The sequence below is a fragment of the Homo sapiens genome, chromosome 3 (genome assembly GCF_000001405.40).
Source record: "Homo sapiens chromosome 3, GRCh38.p14 Primary Assembly".
Taxonomy (NCBI): domain Eukaryota; kingdom Metazoa; phylum Chordata; class Mammalia; order Primates; family Hominidae; genus Homo; species Homo sapiens.
The window spans coordinates 171,219,491-171,240,363 of NC_000003.12; the positions used below are offsets into that span (position 1 = coordinate 171,219,491).

At 39.8% G+C, this 20,873-nt stretch overlaps 1 protein-coding gene across 8 annotated transcripts in view, besides 1 other annotated feature; it reads right to left on the reverse strand.

Annotated features, from left to right (window-relative positions):
- TNIK (TRAF2 and NCK interacting kinase) overlaps positions 1–20,873 on the reverse strand; it is a 401,995-nt gene that overhangs the window by 161,077 nt on the left and 220,045 nt on the right. For all 8 annotated transcript variants that reach the window (NM_001161566.3, NM_001161565.3, NM_001161562.3 and 5 more), the window contains exon 3: positions 8,675–8,731. In NM_001161566.3, coding sequence (NP_001155038.1) covers positions 8,675–8,731 — 57 coding nt within the window. The remainder of the gene's footprint in view (positions 1–8,674; positions 8,732–20,873) is intronic.
- Positions 15,515–15,704: a silencer, noted in NCBI's record as "fragment chr3:170952794-170952983 (GRCh37/hg19 assembly coordinates)". NCBI's record gives its function as "represses an EF-1alpha promoter that drives an FKBP-Casp9 reporter gene in an ReSE screen in K562 erythroleukemia cells {active_cell/tissue: K562}" and the evidence as "EXISTENCE:reporter gene assay evidence [ECO:0000049][PMID:32094911]".

A 20,873-nucleotide genomic window follows, 5' to 3' on the forward strand; every position in this document is an offset into this window, starting at 1 on the left:
GTTCCTGTCCCTGGCCTTGAAAGCTTATTAAAGTCAGTAGGCTTCAAATGAGAAAGAACTTTTAATGAAGGAAAAATAAAAGTGGGTGAAGGATATGAACAGACACTTCTCAAAAGAAGACATTTATGCAACCAACAGACATATGAATAAATGCTCATCATCACTGGTCATTAGAGAAATGCAAATCAAAACCACAATGAGATACCATCTCATGCCAGTTAGCATGACGATCATTAAAAAGTCAGGAAACAATAGATGCTGGAGAGGATGTGGAGAAACAAGAAAGCTTTTACACTGTTGGTGGGAGTGTAAATTAGTTTGACCGTTGTGGAAGACAGTGTGGCAATTCCTCAAGGATCTAGAACTAGAAATACCATTTGACCCAGCAATCCCATTACTGGGTATATACCCAAAGGATTATAAATCATTCTACTGTAAAGACACATGCACATGTATGTTTATTGTGGCACTGTTCATAATAGCAAAGACTTGGAGCCAACCCAAATGCCCATCAATGATAGACTGGATAAAGAAAATGTGGCACATATACACCATGGAATGCTACACAGCCATAAGAAAGGATGAGTTCATGTCCTTTGCAGGGACATGGGTGAAGCTGGAAACCATCATTCTCAGCAAACTAACACAAGAACAGAAAACCAAACACTGCATGATCTCACTCATAAGCGGGAGTTGAACAATGAGAACGCAAGGACACAGGGAGGAGAATATCACACAATGGGGCCTGTCGTGGGGTGGCGGGCAAGGGGAGGGAGAGCATTAGGAGAAACACCTAATGTAGATGACAGGTTGATGGGTGCAGCAAACCACCATGGCACGTGTATACCTATGTAGCAAACCTGCATGTTCTGCACATGTACCCCAGAACTTAAAGTATAATGAAAAATAAATGAATAAAAATAAAAGCTGAACTTCCCAAGTCATTAAATAGAAATTCAAAATACTGATGAGGAAGTCAAATCAAAGAAGAGCAACAGAGCTCAACAAGAGAAGACCTAGTGAAGTCAAAAGAGGGGAATGAATATGAGGTGGGAAGTGTTGGCAGCATAAAGGAAAGGACGGACCTGCAGAAGGAGACCTTGTGTTCCACTACTGAGGAACTTGATTGGAAATCATGCTTTGAACAGCCCCGTCAGTGATTCCAAGCACCCCAGTTTCTGTATGCCAATTTTGTCATCTACAGGCATCTCCACCCCACTAGGGGGCTAAGGGAATTAATTATAATTTTGATCAAGTGCTTTGAGGTACACAAATAAAAGGACCAGTGAATATAAACTATTATGATGTAAAAAATATTTTTAAAAACTATTGCTCACCTTTATTAGTTTGGAGGTATAGACAGTAGCCCCCAGGCCTATTTTTTGCACTTAAGCAATGTATCTAACATGTGAGCATACACATACAACAAGCCCAACATCCAGGCCATACACACAGCATGCATGAACATGCGCAGAGACCCAGACACACATAAGCCACCAAAAGGGTCTAATCTGTATGCAAGAAGAGGACAGATGCTAAAGTGTGCATGGAGTGGGCAGCTCAGTTGTTCATTTTTAGAACCCTAGAAGCTTTCCAAGTTCTACATGCTGTATAGCATACAGAATTGAAGCACTGAAAATAGCCCCAAAGGTGGAGGGTATTAGGAAGACAAAAAAAGCCATTTGTTTATCTTTTCTCTGTTGAAAGTTTTGACCATGTGCTTGATCAGACTGTTCTGTCTGCTAAAGACATCTACATAAATGGCTCCAAAGTAAAAGTCCCAAAGAGCTGTCCAGAGGGCCTCTGTGGCAAAGGAGCTTCAGATGGGAATCCCCAAGCTTTGCTGACATCACCTGAAGGTCAAGCTCCCAAATCTGGAGGTGCACCTCCCCTACCCCTTCACTTGGCTAACGAAGGTCTACTCGTCCTGTAGATCTCACATAGCTGTCACTTTCTCAGAAATCATTTATTGGCCACCCAGCTAGGTCAGTTTCTTCTTAAATTCTCTCTTCATACTCTGTACACTGCTTGGAAGTTAATCAGAATTGTGACTGCTATTGTTTAACTGCTAAATGTCTTGTACTAAAATATAAGATTCCAGAAGATAGTGCCCATGTCTGTCTTGTTCACTGGATGACTCCGTAGCACAGTGCACTCATTCATTCTCAAGTAAATGAATGAATGAAATCTTGTGATTTCAGCCTTCAGCCTCTGGAATCTAGCTTCACTTTCTTTCCTGGATCCTGCTCTAGTAAGCCATTTTTTTTCAGCTACATACTATTCAGGGTAAGGCTAACAACTCTGTAATTGAGGTGGTAAAGATAGGGTGAGTGCAAACTATTTACCCATATCAGCAATTAACTAACACAAATTGGCACGTAGTTCACAGATCAGGCTGTCATCAAAATATACAACTACAGGATTTTAATGCACACTAAAATCTTTTCATTCCTATTGTCTGTCTTATTCAGTGATTCAATGTACCTTACTGGCACTAACCATTAAAATCATGTATTGAGGACCTATTATGTGTCAGGTACAAGATATATCCCATTTAAGTCCCAAAACAAGCTTGCAACATTAACCAATAAGAAAACTGTGGCTCAGAAAAGTTAAAATTTGCCCAAGGTCACAATCAGTAAGGAGATGAGTGGAATATAAGCCCAGCTCTCTCTGAATCTGAAGGCCATGCTCTGGCAATACTCTCTCATTTCTCATCCTATAATAAGATGTCTGTGGAGAGTGTGGGTATGCCCTGACTGGCTCGATTTGAATTCCAACCCTGCCATTTACTATCCATGAGGCTTGGGCAAGTTTCTTGGGCTCTCTGCTGTCAATTCCTTTGTAAAATAGATATACCAGCAGTATTCTCCTAATGGACGTTGTTTTAAGGATTAAATGAGTACTAAGTACTCATTTAAGTACTAAGTACAATGCTTGGGACATGATAAACAATCAGTATTAGCCCCTTTTTGGCCTGTGCCTATCGTCATTATTATTATTAACAATATTATGTGCATACTATTAATTATGCCACTGAACTGCCTCCCTTTGGGATGAAAGAACCAAATGTACTTGGAACAATGTGTCCACCTTACTCTTCCAAACAACCCAAGATGAAAAGATTTTTCTTTTCTTTTTGTGCAATTTCAGCAAGCATTCACTGAGCCCTTTAATAATGGGCAAAACAGTCTACTACTGGGAGAAGACCACTTCCTTACTCTTCAGAAAGAGATGGAGGCTGGTCATAAGCTTCACCTACAGAAATTCAGTAAGACAGAAATAGGAATTCAGTGAAGCAGAGCTTAGCATGGATCCTCCTAGTAGGCAATCCTACGGTGTTACTCTCCTGTTCAACTTCTGGCTCTTGCATTGGCTCTAGTAGTAGTTTGAGGAAAGGAGCCAGGACTTACGGTCTCCCACCCTTGGTTTAAAAAAAGAAAAGAAAAGAAAAGAAAACCTGCTTACATTTCTTTTATGTATTGGGTTTTTCTCTAAGTCTATTTGATCAAAGTGTTCTACTGAGAAAACTAAAAATTAAAAACCTTGTAAACTCCTTGTCACAGTATTAAATTCCTTCATGACCTGGCCCCTCCTAATGTGTCTAGATTCATCTTGTATCAACGCCTTCTTGGCACTTTTAACCTCGAAACTAAGCTATGTGCAGTTTCCAGAACATGCCCTCTCAGCCTCATGCCTTGGCACCGGCTGTATTCTTGGCTGGAATGTCCTCACCTGACTGTCCTCCTGGGCTTCCTCAGTGAGGACTGTCTCCTCACAGTTCCGACAAACTTTACAAGTAACGTTATTTACACATTCTACAGCCTTGTTATAAAGTGTATAAGCTTTATTTATAAATATTTAGGGCAAGGTTGTGTTACTGTGAGCAGGCAAAAGACCATTTTTTTCATCTTTAAATTTCCAGTGCCTATCATAAAGTAGATTTTAGTAAATGTTTGTTGAATAAATCAATGAAAAAAGAATCACATGAAATTAAACACTACATGAATTGAAGACTGAAAACAATGTGGTTAAGAGGATAGACTTAAAGGATGGGGTTACATTGCTCAGGCTGAAATATTCACTCCTTCCTTTGGCAGCCATGTTACATTGAGCAAGATACTTAAAATGCCTGGCTTTCACATCCTAAAATGGGGCTAATCATGGAACCTGCTTGGTTAGCTGCTGAAAGGATCAAATGAATTAATATATAGAAAGTATTTTAAAGAGTTCTGGCACGTAGTAATCACTCACTTAGTGTTAGCTACCATTATTATTCTTTTTGATAGGAATATAAAAAATGTAATTAGAGAAACACTTTACTTAAGGACCAAATCAGTTTTGAACACACTCACTATAATATATGATATTATAGTCATAGAATTCTCCTGTTTTTGCCCACCCAGCATCTTTCCCACTCTTTTCTATAATAACTCTCAGGTTTTTCTTTGAGAAATCAACTCTCTCCAACTCTCAGTCCCTGCGGTAGGTTCCAGAGCCAGGCATCCAGCCCAGGCGTGGACTGGAGAGTAAGGAATTGGCCCAGGGATGGGGACATGGTCCAAGCTGGACCACTGATATTCAGACTGGCACCTTTGCTGGGACCAATGGCAATGAGGTAGTGAAAACATGAGCCTGCAGCTGCTGCTGGGACGAAAGCAGAGCCCACAGATGGAGAGAGACAAAATCCTGATCATGTTAGGTGACTTCTCTGCATCCTGCTGAGGTTTTTGTTGTTTTAATTCATACAAGCTAGTAAATTCCCTTTTCAGCTTCATTCAGTTTGAGTGGCGGTTTGGTACTACAACCCCAAATGTCCTGAGTAGTGTAATCACAACCAGTCATTGTAAAGGCAAAAGCTTACAATATTAGTATTTCATTAAGTCCTATATGCACTTCAGGGTGTCACTGTAAAGGGACTACTTTACACTAGGAATTTTTATCCAAATGAAAATGGGGATTATTTACAGGGTTATCAAAAAAAAAACCCCACAAAAAACCATAGCTCCTTCACACTTGGTGGCCAGAAAGAAGTAAATACAAGACCCTAGAAAAGTGGTACTCTCATTTTGATGTGTGTGACACTCTGAGGAGTTTACAGAAAAGGCAGATTTTGAGGCTACCCCAGAAATCCTGCAGCAGGCCCAGGAATTTGCATTTCTCATGAGTACTTCAGAGGTGCTGACTGCCCACTGATGCTGATGGTCCACTTTAAGAAACACTACCTGGGAGGGTCCAGCTCCTCCTAGATGCCGTAGGTCAATCTAGAGCGCAAAAATCCAGCTGAGAGGTAAATCCCAGACTGTGACAAAATGGGGAAATTTCCATAATGATTTCAAACTATAAGATCTTCAAGGCCTACTCTGAGTTTAAGCACAAATTCTGAAGCAAATGTTGGCAAATTTGGAAGTGTTTCAGCTCTAAAAATGGAAGGATATAAGCATTATATCCAGTTCTCTCAATGGCTGTTTTATACCAAAAAGGAAGTGATATAGAATAAAAACAATAATTTAAAAATTGATGTCAAGCTTATGGCTTTATCAGTTTTATAACAATAAACTATAGTAACTTTGTAGTAGGTCATAGCATGTAATTAACAAAGACGACCTTTGAGAATTCATTTCAGTTTTTTAACAGAGCAACCATAATGAGTACAATTATAATAATTGGTAAGAAGCTTTTACAGCATTCTGTAATACACAATAGACAACATGGCAAAATAGAATAGACTGTCTTCTAAAGGCACCACGTGAGTTTCACAAAGGAAATCTTATGTTGACTGTGATGTGTAAGGGGGTGATACAAAAGTCTCTTGATGCCACATCAGACACCACAAAAATAAGAAAACCATTTCCTGATGTGCATCCATGTTTGCCTTCGTTAAAAGTCAGTGGTTAAATAATCATCAATGACATGACTGAATCACAGAAAAACTATCTAGCCCTCCTCAATAGGAGTTCCCCAAGAGAATTAAGCCTAAATACTATAAAGCATCCACTCTATGTAATGGATTGACACTCCTTTGCATGTAAAATGGCCTTACCTCTGTACCCTCCTTGGAAGAACTGAGAAGGCAGTCTCTCAAATCATCTTCTGTAGAGCTTAGATGCTTAATGAAACCCAGTTTAGAAAGACTAACTGACATTCCTTAAGCTGAAAATACATGTTCTGGGAAAAATAACTGTGTAACTTTTAATTCCAAGCAAGGTGGTCTAGCAATAGTGGTTCTTGAGTAGTTTCTGGTTCTACTTGTGAGGCTTTAAATTGTTCAGAGTCATACTTTGAACATCAACACACATTTTATGCCCCAAGATTAATGACATCAGTGGAACTCTCAACTGTAGTTCTTCAAAACCACACAATAGAATTTAATATACAGCATGAATGTCTTGGACTCCTTCCACAACCATTAATTGTTAAACTGCCAAGCTCATCTCATTATGCAGAGATCCTATTCAATCCAAGGAAAATACAGTAGTATGACTTCAGCTGAATTGCAAAACAAATTCTGATTTGTTCTGTGGTTGGAGCTTTGTAAAATGTTTACACGTTTATAATGGGTTTCTATGTAGAGACTGATAGTATCTGATTTTAATTTTTGTGTCAGATCCTGCTAATCGACCATTCCAGTATCCACTCTCCCTTCATTTCTGACTGATAGAATCTGGATTTTTAAGTAGACACATTAGTAGAATAAAAGACTACATTTTCTAGCTTCCCTTGCAGCTAGATACAGGCAATGAAAGCAGAAGTAAGTAGTAATGTTGTATGGAAGTAGAAAATATTTCACTGGAAGGGGCTCATTTGTACCCTTCTGCTCCCCCTGCTCTCCCTTTTTTGCCTGCCATAAAGTGTGATCAGTGGAAATCCAATAAATATTTTGAACCATAAAGCAACCTTAACTGTGGAGGCCATGCATTAGAATGATGGAGCAGAAAGATAAAAACATCCTTCACTCTACCATATCACTGACATACATCCCTAGGCTGTCCACCTTTACACTCCTTTAACATGAGAGCAAGACACTTCTATTATGCTTAATCCTCTGTTATTTAGCGTTTTCTTAAACTGAATTAATATAAGGCACATACAGTTTATTATTCAGTAAAGGCCAGGTGAATTAATAAACTAATTGGGACTAAAAATTTGAACTTTTGTAATACCTAAAACTTAAATAATATATTTAAGACAAATAAAAAGAATTAGTACTTTATCTAAATGGTAACAAAAATACAGGAACAAAATATTTTACTGGTCAAAAATATATACAACTTAAAGAGGAATTTAGATCAATAATAAGTCAGTACAATGTGTGGTGTAAACAATAATTAGTGAAACGTGTATTATGGTAGGTAACTATCACATAACATATACTTATCTAAGGTAACAAAGTGAGCCCAAAAGGTATGGGTTGAAGTTTGACATACAGACATACTGTGTGTCTTTCTTATTTATTTATTTTTTTCTTATTTGTTTTTCTTATTTTCTTTTGTGTGACTCATTCATTCTATGTCTATTTATATTGAATAATCAACTTCTGGGCTGAATGGAAGACTTTGGTCTTTTAGCTTTCATGTACAGCAGACAGACATCTTAGAAAAATCCCCAGGACAACAGAAAATTATTAACATGCCTTTGATGTCCAGTGAATCCTTTCGAGTCAGATTTTTGCTGTGTACTCTTGAAAAGGCATTAAAATATTTTAAGTAGGCTTAGCAAAAGGATCGAAAACATTAGATTGTATTTAAAATAAAATCTATTTCTTAGATTGCTTTTGATTATCCAGGCAGAAATTTTGTTTCATTGTTGCTCTATAATGATAAGAATTTGTGTTTATTGTGATTATTTGGTCAGTAATATTTTGTTTTGGGAAATATTCATGTTAAATATCCTACTAGGATCTTAGAGCCATCCAAGCTCCTGTCTACTCCAGTGGTAGGCAGACCTTTGGGAAAACAGTTAAGACTCATTTCTTCTGTATAATCTCAGTATTATTCATTTAATACCTTCACATCCTTGTTCTGCATTCATATGCAAATATCTGTGGTTGTGTTTATGTAAATTATTGGCAAACAGTATTCACTCTAACTACATAAGGCAGTGTGTAGGTATCAAATTTAATTAGAGTGATGTACCCATGATCTCTTCAGTCAGCTACTGCATACTCTTCCTTATGTTAGCCACAAGTGGGGAAAGATATTAGATATTTAGGGAGATTATTTTTCTAGAAAACAATTTTTTTCTATCATTAACTTCTCTATTACAAATATAGAGATGGTCCCTCATTTACAATGGTTCAACTTACGATTTTTTTTGACTAACAGTGGTGTGAAATCAACATGCATTTGGTAGAAATCATACTGCAAGTACCTGTACAACCATTCTGTTTTTCACTTTTGCTATAGTAATCAACAAATTACATGAGATAGTCAACATTTTATTATAAAATAGGCTTTGTGATAAATGACTTTGCCCAACTGTAGGCTAACGTAAGTGTTCTGAGCATGTTTAAGGTAGGCTAGGCTAAGCTATGATGTTCAACAGGTTATGTGTATTAAATGCATTTTCAACTTAACAATATTTTCTACTTATGATGGGCCTATCAGGATGTGAACTCATCATAAGTCAAGGAGCATCTGCATGGCTATTGAGATGGCAAAATAAAGACACTTACCCCTGTGACATCCATAACCTTGATGGCTGCAAGCTGGCCCGTTTTGACATGACGACCCTGTGAAGAAAAAATAATAACAAAAGATTTAGTTCTGATGATGAATAGTAGCATTCAATTCCAACAATAAAGAAAAATTGCTTGGATCAGTGCTGTACTATGTCAATGGGGGGAGAGAGAAAGACAGACACACACAGAAACACCATGTCTACTTAGTGTTTATTTTGTAAAACGTCCCCAGTCACTTTGTTTATTTTCACAGTGGGTGTCAAGTCAAATAAAAAATGCAATGTTGAACAATTTGGTTCTAACTCCTCTCCAAGGCATTTGACAAGAGCTTATATGAGAGGAGGATTTATGTCGAAGGGGAGCTAGGCCTGCGTGGAAGAATACACAAGTATCTCTCTGTTAGAAAACACTCGGTAGATGAAGAAACTTTGGTTTCTTTCATTCTTAAAATATCCTGTGATGGTTTTAACTGGATATGATTCTGCTATAATTCACCTGAGATTGTTCATTTATCTTTATCTTAAAAGGGAGCCTAAACTAAAACAGATAGCAATCAATCCAAATTTGTGATCAAGGAGACAGTGTTGAACATTAGGAACTGCTTCCCCAAGGTGGGCTCTTTTGGTCTTTAGAACCACAGTGAAGCAGCAACCACGTGGCAAAATCAGAAACGAGTAGGGAGCGCCAAGGGGGCACTCTCAGAAGAGAATTATTTTCTCTTTGTTTGCTCCTTGAGAAAACACAATGTCTACATGTGACTCTCAGACAACAGCAAAGATGGTCATACTCACTACTTTTACATGAATTTTATATATAGCTTCCAAAATACATTTTACTTATTGCTGCTATCAGGCAATAAAATATAGCTTCTAAGATCAGCTGGGTTCAAAACCTAGCTGCATGACCTTAGGCAAGCCCCTCAACCTTCCAAGCCTCAGTTTCCTCATCTCAAAAACTGAAATAATAATAATACCTAATGCATAGAATTGTAGTGAGAACGATATGAGATCATGTATACAAAGTACTTGACAGTGACATATGCAGATTAGCTGTCAGCAGATGCTGGCCGTAATTATGTATGGTCCTGTCTTCTGGTGAATTTTAAATGTTGTCTTCCCTACTGAACTGTATGTTTCATAAAGGCAAGGACCATGTCTCATCGATGTATTTCCAGTACCTGGAATAGTAAGGGCCTCCCCCATAGATGCTGTGGCATGTTTATGAATTAACAACAGATAAGGAGGCATGTATAATTGTGGTGTGGAAAAAGTGATTGGCCTAGTGTGATTCAGATTCAGTAGTTGAAGTTGGTGAAAATGTGCTAGTTTAGTTGGATCAAATTTTTTAAAAGTTGTGGTAGAAAACATTAGTGGGTCAATTTTGTAATTGAGACCACCTATATCTTTGTGTTCTTAAATCCTTTCCCTTTTTCTACTACTTTTCTCCCTTACTAACCTAATTTTCCCCACTCCTCTGGCCCTTTAACTTCTGCCCACTCTGCCTGTCCTCTTTCTTCTCACATATCTCAGCTTTAAAAATCTATTTACTCTGATTCTGATGGTGCTTCCTTCCGCTTTTGACCCCCATTCTGCTGCCCTTTTTTTCCTCCTCACTGGGGAAAGAGCACAAAGAAGGGGACAGTAGGTCAGTAATCCAATATGGTCACAGACACAGCCCCTCACACTTATTTCCACTTTCCTGAAATCGAGGGAGAGGATGGCGTGTTACCTTGTAAAGAGCCCTGGACCAGAATCCCAGAGGCCCAGTTCTTGTCCAGGCTCTGCCCATGACCACCGGCTGTGTCTGGGCCCTCATTTCCCCATCTACAAAACGTGGGGAGACTGGGCTCAGTGGTTAGTAGAGAGGGCAGTGAGTGGGTATCAGCACTACCAACTCTTTCCATCCCAAGCAGCATTTAGAAATTTAGTTTCCACAAGATTGATAGGGAGAGAAGTGCCACTGCTACAGAACCAGGAACACTAACTTTCTTGCAGAGCAGCAACGCTACCTTTCCTGCAAACCATGAGTCAATCTTGCACAAGGAAGAAGTAGCAACAGCGTCCTCTTTTGAGTCTGTGATGCCGTAATGATGACCCTTGCAAAGGAATCAACAGCTTTGTAACCAACAGTGGACTTTAAAGTAATGGCTATAAATCATGTCTTAAATAATGGCTGTTCATCTGCTAAAACACTGAAAGAGGGTAGGGGAAACGTAGGCAAATACAGAGGGTCTGTCTGATATTATATAGCTGATTTGCCTTGAAATTATTTTAATGGTACCTGTAACAGGATACAGACAAACCACTGGGCACGGCTTGCAGGGCCCTCCAAGAGCTGACCCCCTTTCTGCCATACCACCTTGGTAGGCTCCCACTTGCTCTTACTCTGTGGACCTTGAGAACAAACTGTTTGCGCTTCTGTAAATGTACTTTATTGTTTCTTGCCTCTCAGATGGTATGTTTTCTTGGTCTGGGATGCCCTTTGCCTTCTTGACTCCTCAGACAACTTACTCTCTCTTTCCAGATTCAATTACAGTACTCTGTCCTCTGATACCTCACTTGTCGATTCCTCGTCACCTCTGTCTATCAATGAACATGTCCCTGTGTGTATTATTCCAAGGACCTCAAAGGATTAATATCCCTCTCTCCCTCTCTGGTCTTCCTTCCTCTCTCCCTTCCTTCCCCTGTGGCTCCATTTGCAGCCCAACCTTTTCCCCAAATAAAACCTTAAGTGAACTCCCTTGGTTCAAGCAGGGACTTGACTGCCCAACTCTAGTCTGCTCTGCCTCCCGACTCCCCTCATTCCTGAGGGAGTCCCTGAGGCATGTCTGCCAGCATGCACTTTGAGAGACTTTGCAGTAGATTTTTAAGTCCTTAAGAAGCAGGAAATCCTCTTTGAGTGAATAATTTGTTACAAGGACACCTCAACACCTAGTTCTTCCCATCAGCAGCCTAGGGCTGAGCCAGCCCATGGTACTGGCTCAAGGCCAGAGATGAGGCGGGATAAAAGTGACGTGTGTTACATTTCGAACACAGGCAGTGGGCAGTTCTTGTTGGAATAAATAAGATATCAGCTCTTTTAAAAAACCTAGTATACTTGGCTTTTGTTGTTGCTACTGTTTTTTGTTTTGTTGTTGTTGTTGTTTTGTTTTTTTTTTTGTTTTTTTAAGTAGCCACTATGAAAATGATGGAAGGTAACACTGGAAAAGAAAACAACACTTTAAATTTTAAATTTCATTTCCCGGCTGAAACAGCAGTTCTCAGTGGGTCTGACAGCTAACTGAAAAATACACCTTGGGATGGCAGTTTGGGCTTACATGAGATCCTGGAGGTGGAACAATTAGCAGCCTCAGATCACTCCCAGGCAAAGGTATCCCCACGCGCTAGAGCAGGAAGGATGCTGAGCTGTCACATTTTGCTGATCAGGAAAGGGCCATGAAGGAACTTGCCCAGCATGAGCTGCCTTTTCTATCCCCAGAGAACATCAGGCCAAGTTATGATCCAGATTAAGGCAGACTTGGAGGGAATGGCAGGGAGTCAGCCGACCTAAAGCTCACTAGGAACCTGAGGCACAGTCATTGTAAGACAGTTTTTAAAGAGGTAACTTTATAAAATCAGAAATGAATTGAGTAGGAAGGGGCCCCTAAGAGCCTAACCCAATCCTCTCCTTTTAGAGATCAGGCCAAAACTTCACAGCTAAACTTAGGACACTTTCTCCTCCATCCCACTTCTACCATCCAGCTCCTAAATCACAAATTTCTATCGCCAAACTTTTAAAATAATTTTTAAAACAAACTTTTAATATTTTACTTAACTGGAACTAAATATCGAACCAGTCATCTTTGCTTCACATAGGATTTTTAATAATTTATTTTTTAAATTTGGGGGCAGTGCAACGAAGGGGATGTTATTGCAATAGAATTTTGAAGGGAAAATGTAACAGTACCCCAATTCTAATTTATTTTTCCTTATAAGAGAAATTTAAAATACAAATATAGACACCATCTAAATTTAGATCTAAAATACATGTTTCAAGCTGGTGCAGTGTTGCACGTCTGTACACCCAGCTACTTGGGAGGCTGAGGCAGAAGGATGGCTTGACTCCAGGAGTTCGAGGCTGGCCTGAGAAACACAGCAAGATCCCATCTCTAAAATGGACAAATGTATGAATGAAAAAAAAAAACCACATGTGCAACCAAGAACTAAAAATTAAATTCTGAAAAGAAAAAACTTCTAAAAGGAGATAAAAGAGTTTAAAAAAATTCTCCATGAAAATTAGAGAAAATGTCCTATCAGATTGCAGTTGCTGAGTCATTTTTTAATAAAAGGATGAACTGAATTATTTTTTTCCTACAGAAATAACCAATAATGGCAAAAGCTAGTGAACATGCTAAATCTAGAAAAGTAAAACTGATATTCTGATAGGACCCCAAGCCTAATGTCAGATAATGTCCTAAAGCATAAAAAGCCTATCCACCAGAAAGGAACAAGAAAGGCATCAAAACAAGGGAGGCAGAGCCTTGGGGTCACGGCTCAGCCTGGTCCTCAGACACACTTAAGAACCTACTCTGCTCCCCTCTTCCCTTCTTCTCCCTCACTTTTGAGGCAACAAACTATGCTGATCCTTGTTCTATGTAAAATAATTCAACATCGAGGTGAAATCCAAATCACTCAAGTACGATTAATACAATACCCTACTCCTTCAACTCCTCCCTAAAATGAATGCAAGAGAAAACAACAGTTTTGTTTTAACAGCCACATAAGCTTCACTTTTGTTATTGTTGTTATTTTCTAAGGAAGAGCAAGAGGGTTTTTGAGCTGCTAGCCTAAGGCTAGCCTGGAAGACAGAATACTTTCATTTCTAGGTCACCCACATACATTTATTTCTGGCAAAGCACTCAAGCAAACCATCTTTGTTGAAAATTCAGACATTCCCCCCACTGTCTTCATCCTCCTGCCAAAGGAAGCTCACACACAGGTAGAGAGTGGCTCATTCTCCTTCCTATCTACCTTAGATTTAATCTCCACTTTATTGAGGAAGTCGTCTTCAATTTCCTAATTGCAAATGAGTACTCCACCTTTGTGTTTCCACAGAATACTATCCCAACCCCACTGATCATAACCAGCACTGTGATTTTTTTTTCAAAACACGCATCACCAGAACCATGAAAATAAATCAAATCAAAATGGAAAAAAAAAGCAGAATGTAGAATATGTAGTAATGGCAGCTGTTGTTTTATGGCTCACCTGTTCTTATTCTATCTGTCTGTCTGTCTGTCTATCTATCTATCTATCATCTGTGTATCAATCATAGATGCTGCAGTGTGCCACCAAGATTCTCGAGTACAGACTGAAGTACCTGACAACTCTGTCAGGTCCCTCTCTGGGAATGGCCCTTAGCCAAAGAGCCACCTCACCCAAGGTCATGCTCCTTCCTGGAGAAAGGTGAAGGATGATGGCCACTTGGATTAGGATGGAAAGGGTGGAGAATGTGGGAATGGACAGGAGGCCAAATGAAGAGGACTTGGGAATAGATTGGATATGTATTTCCCTTGTGCCTTCATAGTGCTTGGCACAGCAGGCACTCAGCAAATATTTGCTGAAAAACAGACTGAATGAAGGCATGAAATTTGAGGGTTGCGTTTGGGTTCTTGGTACCATCCACATATCTACATCTGTTTCCCTTACCCCCACATTTCCCCAGCCACAGAGTGTATGGGACCAGATAGGGTGGGGTTGTAAGCAGGAATTATAATTATTTTGCTCATAAATAAAAACCTGGAAGATGATTTTAAGTGGATGAAGTTCTTTTAAACTCTACAGAGAGACCAGTTTACTTTCCCTTTCCATAGATCACAGAGAAACCAGAAATTGGTTTTAGCTTTACTTCTGAGCTGTCATGATGATGGCAAACATGAACTCTGGTTTTCCACTCCCATTTGAGACTAAAGGTTAGTTAATATCTATCTGGACATCTTTAGGAATGCTACCTTTCCTTGATACAACATGTCTTGAGGCAAAGAGGTAGACAAGACAACTTTATGAAAAGACTCCAAAGATCCTTATGATCAAGTAACATGAATGTTCACAGAGCATACTTGGCATGATGTCCATTCCTAAGTCTTCCCCAGGTTAAATGGAGCCTTTGTGTTTCCTTGGCCTACATGTGCCATTCGTTGGTGGCTTAAAAACCCTGCTCTCCATATGTGCAGAACTGTAATTCAGACTTTATGGCTCCCAGACTTGTGGCAGAGGTAAAGCAAGGTACCGACTCAGGATGGTGCCCAAGCAATTACTCTCCATCTCAACACCACTCACTGTGAATTCCTTTGCTTGGCACCTCTGAGTGACAGAAAATGGATTGCTTTCAAGACTGTTCAGGGGTGGGCCAACTGAAAGCTGAGACTTGCTCACAGACATGAAGTGGGGAAGAAGAGACTGGGTTTCATTTTTCTTTGTTAGAAACTAGGATTCTTCAGTCTTCCTGGCTGCCAGCTTGGCTCAGTTTATAAATCAAAATGGATGCTTAAAGGGAAAAAAATCAAATAGTCACAATTTTTAGCAGACAATAGTTAATGTATGCAGATTCCGTGGCAGGGAGCCTAATGCCTGTACCCAGGAAAGACACGCACAGCTGAAGTGACAGCAGTGACGAGGCAGACAAGATGAGGGGTGACGAGAACTCAAAAGCAGACGAGCCAGCCTCTGGGCCAGGGCCTTGCGCCAAGAACACACTTCCCAGTAACCTCCTCTCAACCCAAAAAATGAGCACAAAACCAAAGCTCTCACTGGCTCTCATCTAATTTATACCACAGAATTACCACAATCATCTGTGGCTTTTTAAAAATTTTTTATTTGTTTATTTATTCATTTATTTATTTATTTATTTTGAGACGGAGTCTCACTCTGTTGCCCAGGCTGGAGTACAGTGGCGCTGTCTCGGCCCACTGCAATCTCCACCTCCTGGGTTCAAGTGATTCTCCTGCCTCAGCCTCCCAAGTAGCTGGGATTACTGGTTCCCACTACCATGCCCAGCTAATTTTTGTAGTTTTAGTAGAGCCAGGGTTTCGCCATGTTGGCCAGGCTGGTCTTGAACTCTTGACCTCAAGTGATCTGCCCACCTTGGCTTCCCAAAGTGCTGGGATTACAGGCATGAGTCACCACGCCCAATCTCATCTGTGGCTTTCATACATTCATTTCTGGGAGGACTAACCCCCCTAGGTGTGGGGGCTCAAAAGATGGCGACAAAGTATGTACATGCAGCCAACTCTTCAGCCTCTCCAAATATCCCACTCCTCCCCACACAGCACAATAGCCTTCCCTATCCCCTGAACCAAGAATGGCACCTGGGGCTATAAACATCATTCAAAACCCTGGTACCTGAACACTAGTCCAAGGTAAAGTTTACATACAACTCCAGTAAAAGGTGAAAAATAAGGACCCAGTGGTGATTTTTTCAGAAAACAAGAGGTATTCAACTTAAGCAGGATTCTTATTTTTGGTGTTAAAATGCCCATTAATGAAATGTTTTTAACTTTTAAAAGTTAACAACCATATGTTTTTGTTGTTGTTGTTGTTTTTGTTTTGTTTTGTTTTGGTGGGGGGGGGGTTTATAGAGTGAGATTTTAGTATTCCATGAAATCTGAGAATCCAGGAAAAAGTATTTTTACATACATGAACTTAGTAGAAGGGTCAATAACCCTCTGAAGACACAAAAAAGGTTCTTGATGCAACCTGGAAAAAGTTAAATGTGAGGGTGTATAGCCCTTAATAACTTAAAATAGCCTGTGTGAATTGTATTGGAACCCACTTCTCTCTCCTCTGGGTGCCCTAAGTCCCTAATGCCCTTAAAACGCAGTCCTCCAGGCACATGGCTGCTACATACTAGAACAGAAAGCCCCTCAAAGGCAGGAACTCCACCTTAAACCTGTTTAATCCTCTAACATTGCCTGGGACAGCGTCTTGTAAAGGGTAGGTGCCAAATCACACTGGAAAACATCAAGTTTCTAGGCCTAGTGAACCTTGTAAATTGCCACAAATCACAATGAACAGAGATTCCTGTGATCCATCAGGGGCTACACCTGGGAGAATCTTGATAGAATTTGGGGAAATGTCTACTTCCGCGTGTCAGAAGCTTAAGAAAAAAGAGGACCATAAGAATGGCTTACGGTGTCCTAACTGGAGGGGAAAGCTATGTGATCTGATGTGAGTGTTTTGCTCAACAAGGTTCTGTTTTTGTTTTCTTTTCCAAGTGTTAACTAAGAAAACTAGGTCACTGAAATAGGCCCTGGAGGCTCACTAGAGACATTAGCATTCTGCATGTCATAATCAACAGCTTACCAGAGGAAAGGGTCAGGGAGAGAAAGATGCATCAAGAGAAAAGCAAGGTCCAGACGCTGCCCTGCCAACATCCTTTCACCTCTGCCTCCTCTTTTCCCGAGCTGGTACTAACTAGAGGTAGGACGATGCAACTGTTCTTGGAGAAACAGGGTTCATTTTTAAAGATTTCAAATCAATAGCTCCCTCTCTAAGGACTACTTTATGAGGCAACTCTGTCTTTCCCCTCAGGACCTCTGGCAGACTCTTTGCTCACTCCATCCCACCTCCTAGCTGCAGATAAAGAAGATATATTACATCCTCTCCCCTGGCCCTGCACAGGGTTGCCAAATGCAGCCCGAAGCTGGCCCCTATTGTCTGAGATTTACAACCAGGTGATTGGGAGTGGGCAGGGTTGGCTTTGGACCACAGACACGATAGGCTGGGGGTTGGGGGAAATAGATGATAATAATAATAAAAAGGCAATGCTGCATTTCATTTTGCCTAATGTATGGCTTCAATAGGAAGCCAGTCCACCCACAGTCCTGTCTCATTCACTTAATAGACTTCTGCAGCAGCAGCAGGAGCAGTCTCCTGTTCAGAAAGAAAAAGGACCACACTGGTGTCATGAGAAAAAACAAAGGCAAAGGACCACAGTGTTCCCAGCTATCATTCTTGGGGTGGCAGTAACACAAATCGGGACCCATTTGGCTCTTTATTTGGGCTGTTGATGAATAAACCCTCTCCCACGGTGTCCTCAAACCTCCAGCAGTTTTAATTAAAACAAAAGAAATGTCAGCAGGGAAAAGACTGGAATATAATTAGGGCCCACCAAATCTAAAGTAATATGGGGGAAAAAGACTAGTAATGAAAGGGAAGCTTTCAGGTTCTTACTGAATCCCCGCTCTGTTACTGACACAAAAATCAATTTCAATAGGCTTTAGTTGTATCTGAACGGGAACACAGTGACAGATGAAATTTAGTGAGCAACTTACTGGAGTCATAATGATTCCCACGGAAAAAAAAAAAAAGACTACAATGAGCACTCCCAGCCAAATGTCTCCTCTGTAAGAATGTGTATGTTTATTATACATACACATAACATGTATGTTGGTAAAATTATATCTAAAACTTATATACCTAAAACATATATAGGCTGAGTGTGGTGGCTCATGCCTATAATTCTAGTGCTTTGAGAGGCCAAGGCAGGAGGATCACTTGCAGCCAGGAACTCGAGACCAGCCTGAGCAATATAGTGAGACCCCGTCTCTATAAAAAATCTAAAAATTAGCCAGACCTAGTGGCATGCACCTGTAGTCCCAGCTACTCTGCCGAGGTGGGAGGATCACTTGAGCCCAGGAGTTTGAGGCTGCAGTATGCTCTTGTATGTACTTGCACTCCTTTTAAACTTAAACTAGATCTACCTAGAAGTAAACCTACCATCCCCATTGACGTCATCTGACTGGAGACAGCAACATTCTTTAACAGTCCCATTACAAAAGGAGAACCTGGTCCATATTGGTTAATAGCAGAAGACCCAGATCTCCGCAAAGGCTGAAAATATCTCTCCCCCTCCAACAGATGTCTTCTGTGTCAGCACAGACTGCATTTGCGATTGTGATTTCTGAGCAAAGACCTGCATATTGTTCTCTGGGAAGGAGGGTGAGAGGACAAAAAGGACATTAGAAAACTGAAAGTTGTTTTATAAATGCAGGATGGCTCTTACATATTCATAATCTTTCAAAAAAATTCATAAAATTCAAAAAAATTGAATTTTATGATTGTGCCACTGCACTCCAACCTGGGGGACAGAGTGAGATCCTATCTCTAAAAAAAAAAAAATTAAAAATGATAATATTGTATATATACAAATATACTACATTGTAAATATATACATATGGAGGAGAGAGAATTTAAAAACTAGTTTTTTTTTAATCCCAAAAAATGTAAATTCTCCCTCTCAAACCCTTTAAAACAGTGGTTTTCAGCGGGGCAACTTTGCTTCCCAGGGGACATCTGATGTTGTCTGGAGACATCTTTTGATTGTTATGACTGCAGCTACTGACAATTAGTGGGTAGAGGTCAGGGATGCTACTAAATCTTCATAATGCACAGGACACCACCCTTCCCCAACAAGCAATAATTGGGTCTAAAATGTCAATGGAGTCAAGGTTGAGAAACCATGTTTTAAAAGAATTTGACATTTCATAGGTGCTCAATGAATGCTGGAGTCTATGAAATGTCAGATTCTGCAATAGGCACTAATACTACAAAGATCAAATGATAAGGTCTTGACCTCAGGGATCTCCCATGGCTTAAGGGAGGCACAGCAGACGACGAATTGTTCTTTCCTTGCTTAGTAGAATCTTACATGTAAAATCTTTTCTTAAATCCCAAAAATGTATGTTCTTTAAGAACACAGGCAATACTATACCCAGTGACTTCTGAGACCACTTTTCAACTGGCTTTTGAGTGGCCAATTCTAAGACTTTCCCATTTAAGCAGCATATTCTAAATTTTTAAAAAACCTAATGAAGTATTATTAGGACTAAATGGAATTTGGTTTATTATAACTGGACACAATTCTGGCTAATTATGTTAATTTTAGAAAGAATATCCTATTTTCATTTTAAAACAATATTTACATCTTAATAACTCTTCATACTACGTGTTCTTTCCTTCTTAAAGGTTTACTTATAGTTTTAAGTTATCAGGTACTCAATTCAGAAATATATTATTTTGTTTGATTAAAATATAAGTCATGTGAAGTTTTAAGCTAAAAATGTAACAGTCAATGACAAGAGAATAAAGGTGTTTGCCTTTATCCAACATAAGTTCTTCAAATGCAGGGATATAGGAATCTTGCAATTGCTGTAAGCGATCTGTTTCCAAGAAATAAGGAAAGCAAAATTCAATTTTTTAGAAAAAATAAATGAGCAGCATTATTCTATATCACTGACACCATTCACCACCTTTTAGATACTTAAGGATTAAAGAACTCAAGATGGTCAAAGAATAACATCCAAATATAGACTCTCCACAGTGTATGAAAGAAATAATTATGGCCTATTAATTGTTCCACCTGCAATAGCAGAAGACCCAGATCTCCGCAAAGGCTGAAAATATCTCTCCCCCTCCAACAGATGTCTTCTGTGTCAGCACAGACTGCATTTGCGATTGTGATTTCTGAGCAAAGACCTGCATATTACAAAAAGGACATTAGAAAACTGAAAGTTGTTTTATAAATGCAGGATGGCTCTTACATATTCATAATCCTTCAAAGTGATGGCCATCACAGACTACAGCAATTTGTCAGCAAACACATCCATCCCTGGGAAGCTAGTTGCTGGGAGTAAGTAGTCAAGTGCCTCTCAGAAACCTGTACTCTCCCATCAGGACAATAATGCTGAGAACACTTTTGTCTGAAATCTTGGGGGAGGGGCGGGGGTGAAATATGATGACACACTGAGAAAGAACAAGGGCTGTTTTAAGTAAATATGATCTGCCCCAAGCTCTGGGTAGGCCTGAATGGGAGGGTAGCTGACTAGTTAGTAAATGCATTGATTTATAGTTAAATTTAGCTGCGATCCAACTGTGACCTATCAGGTAGCTTCGTCTCAAGGAGGGTGAGTTTTCCCTGACTCCAGTGAAATTCTTCTTTCCACCACATTTTCATGCCTCCAGTTTAGGTCGACTCATCAGGGATCGTGAGACGGGTAAGCACAGCATCTTGCTGACTCTTGGAAATCTTCTCTTCTCGAGCAGGTATTTCACATAGTCTAGGAGAGAATTGACTATCTGTAGCTAGAGCTCTGCAGGCCCTATAGAGGACGTGGAGGTTACGAGGAAAGGCTTTGAAAGAGGTATGAGGTTCCCTT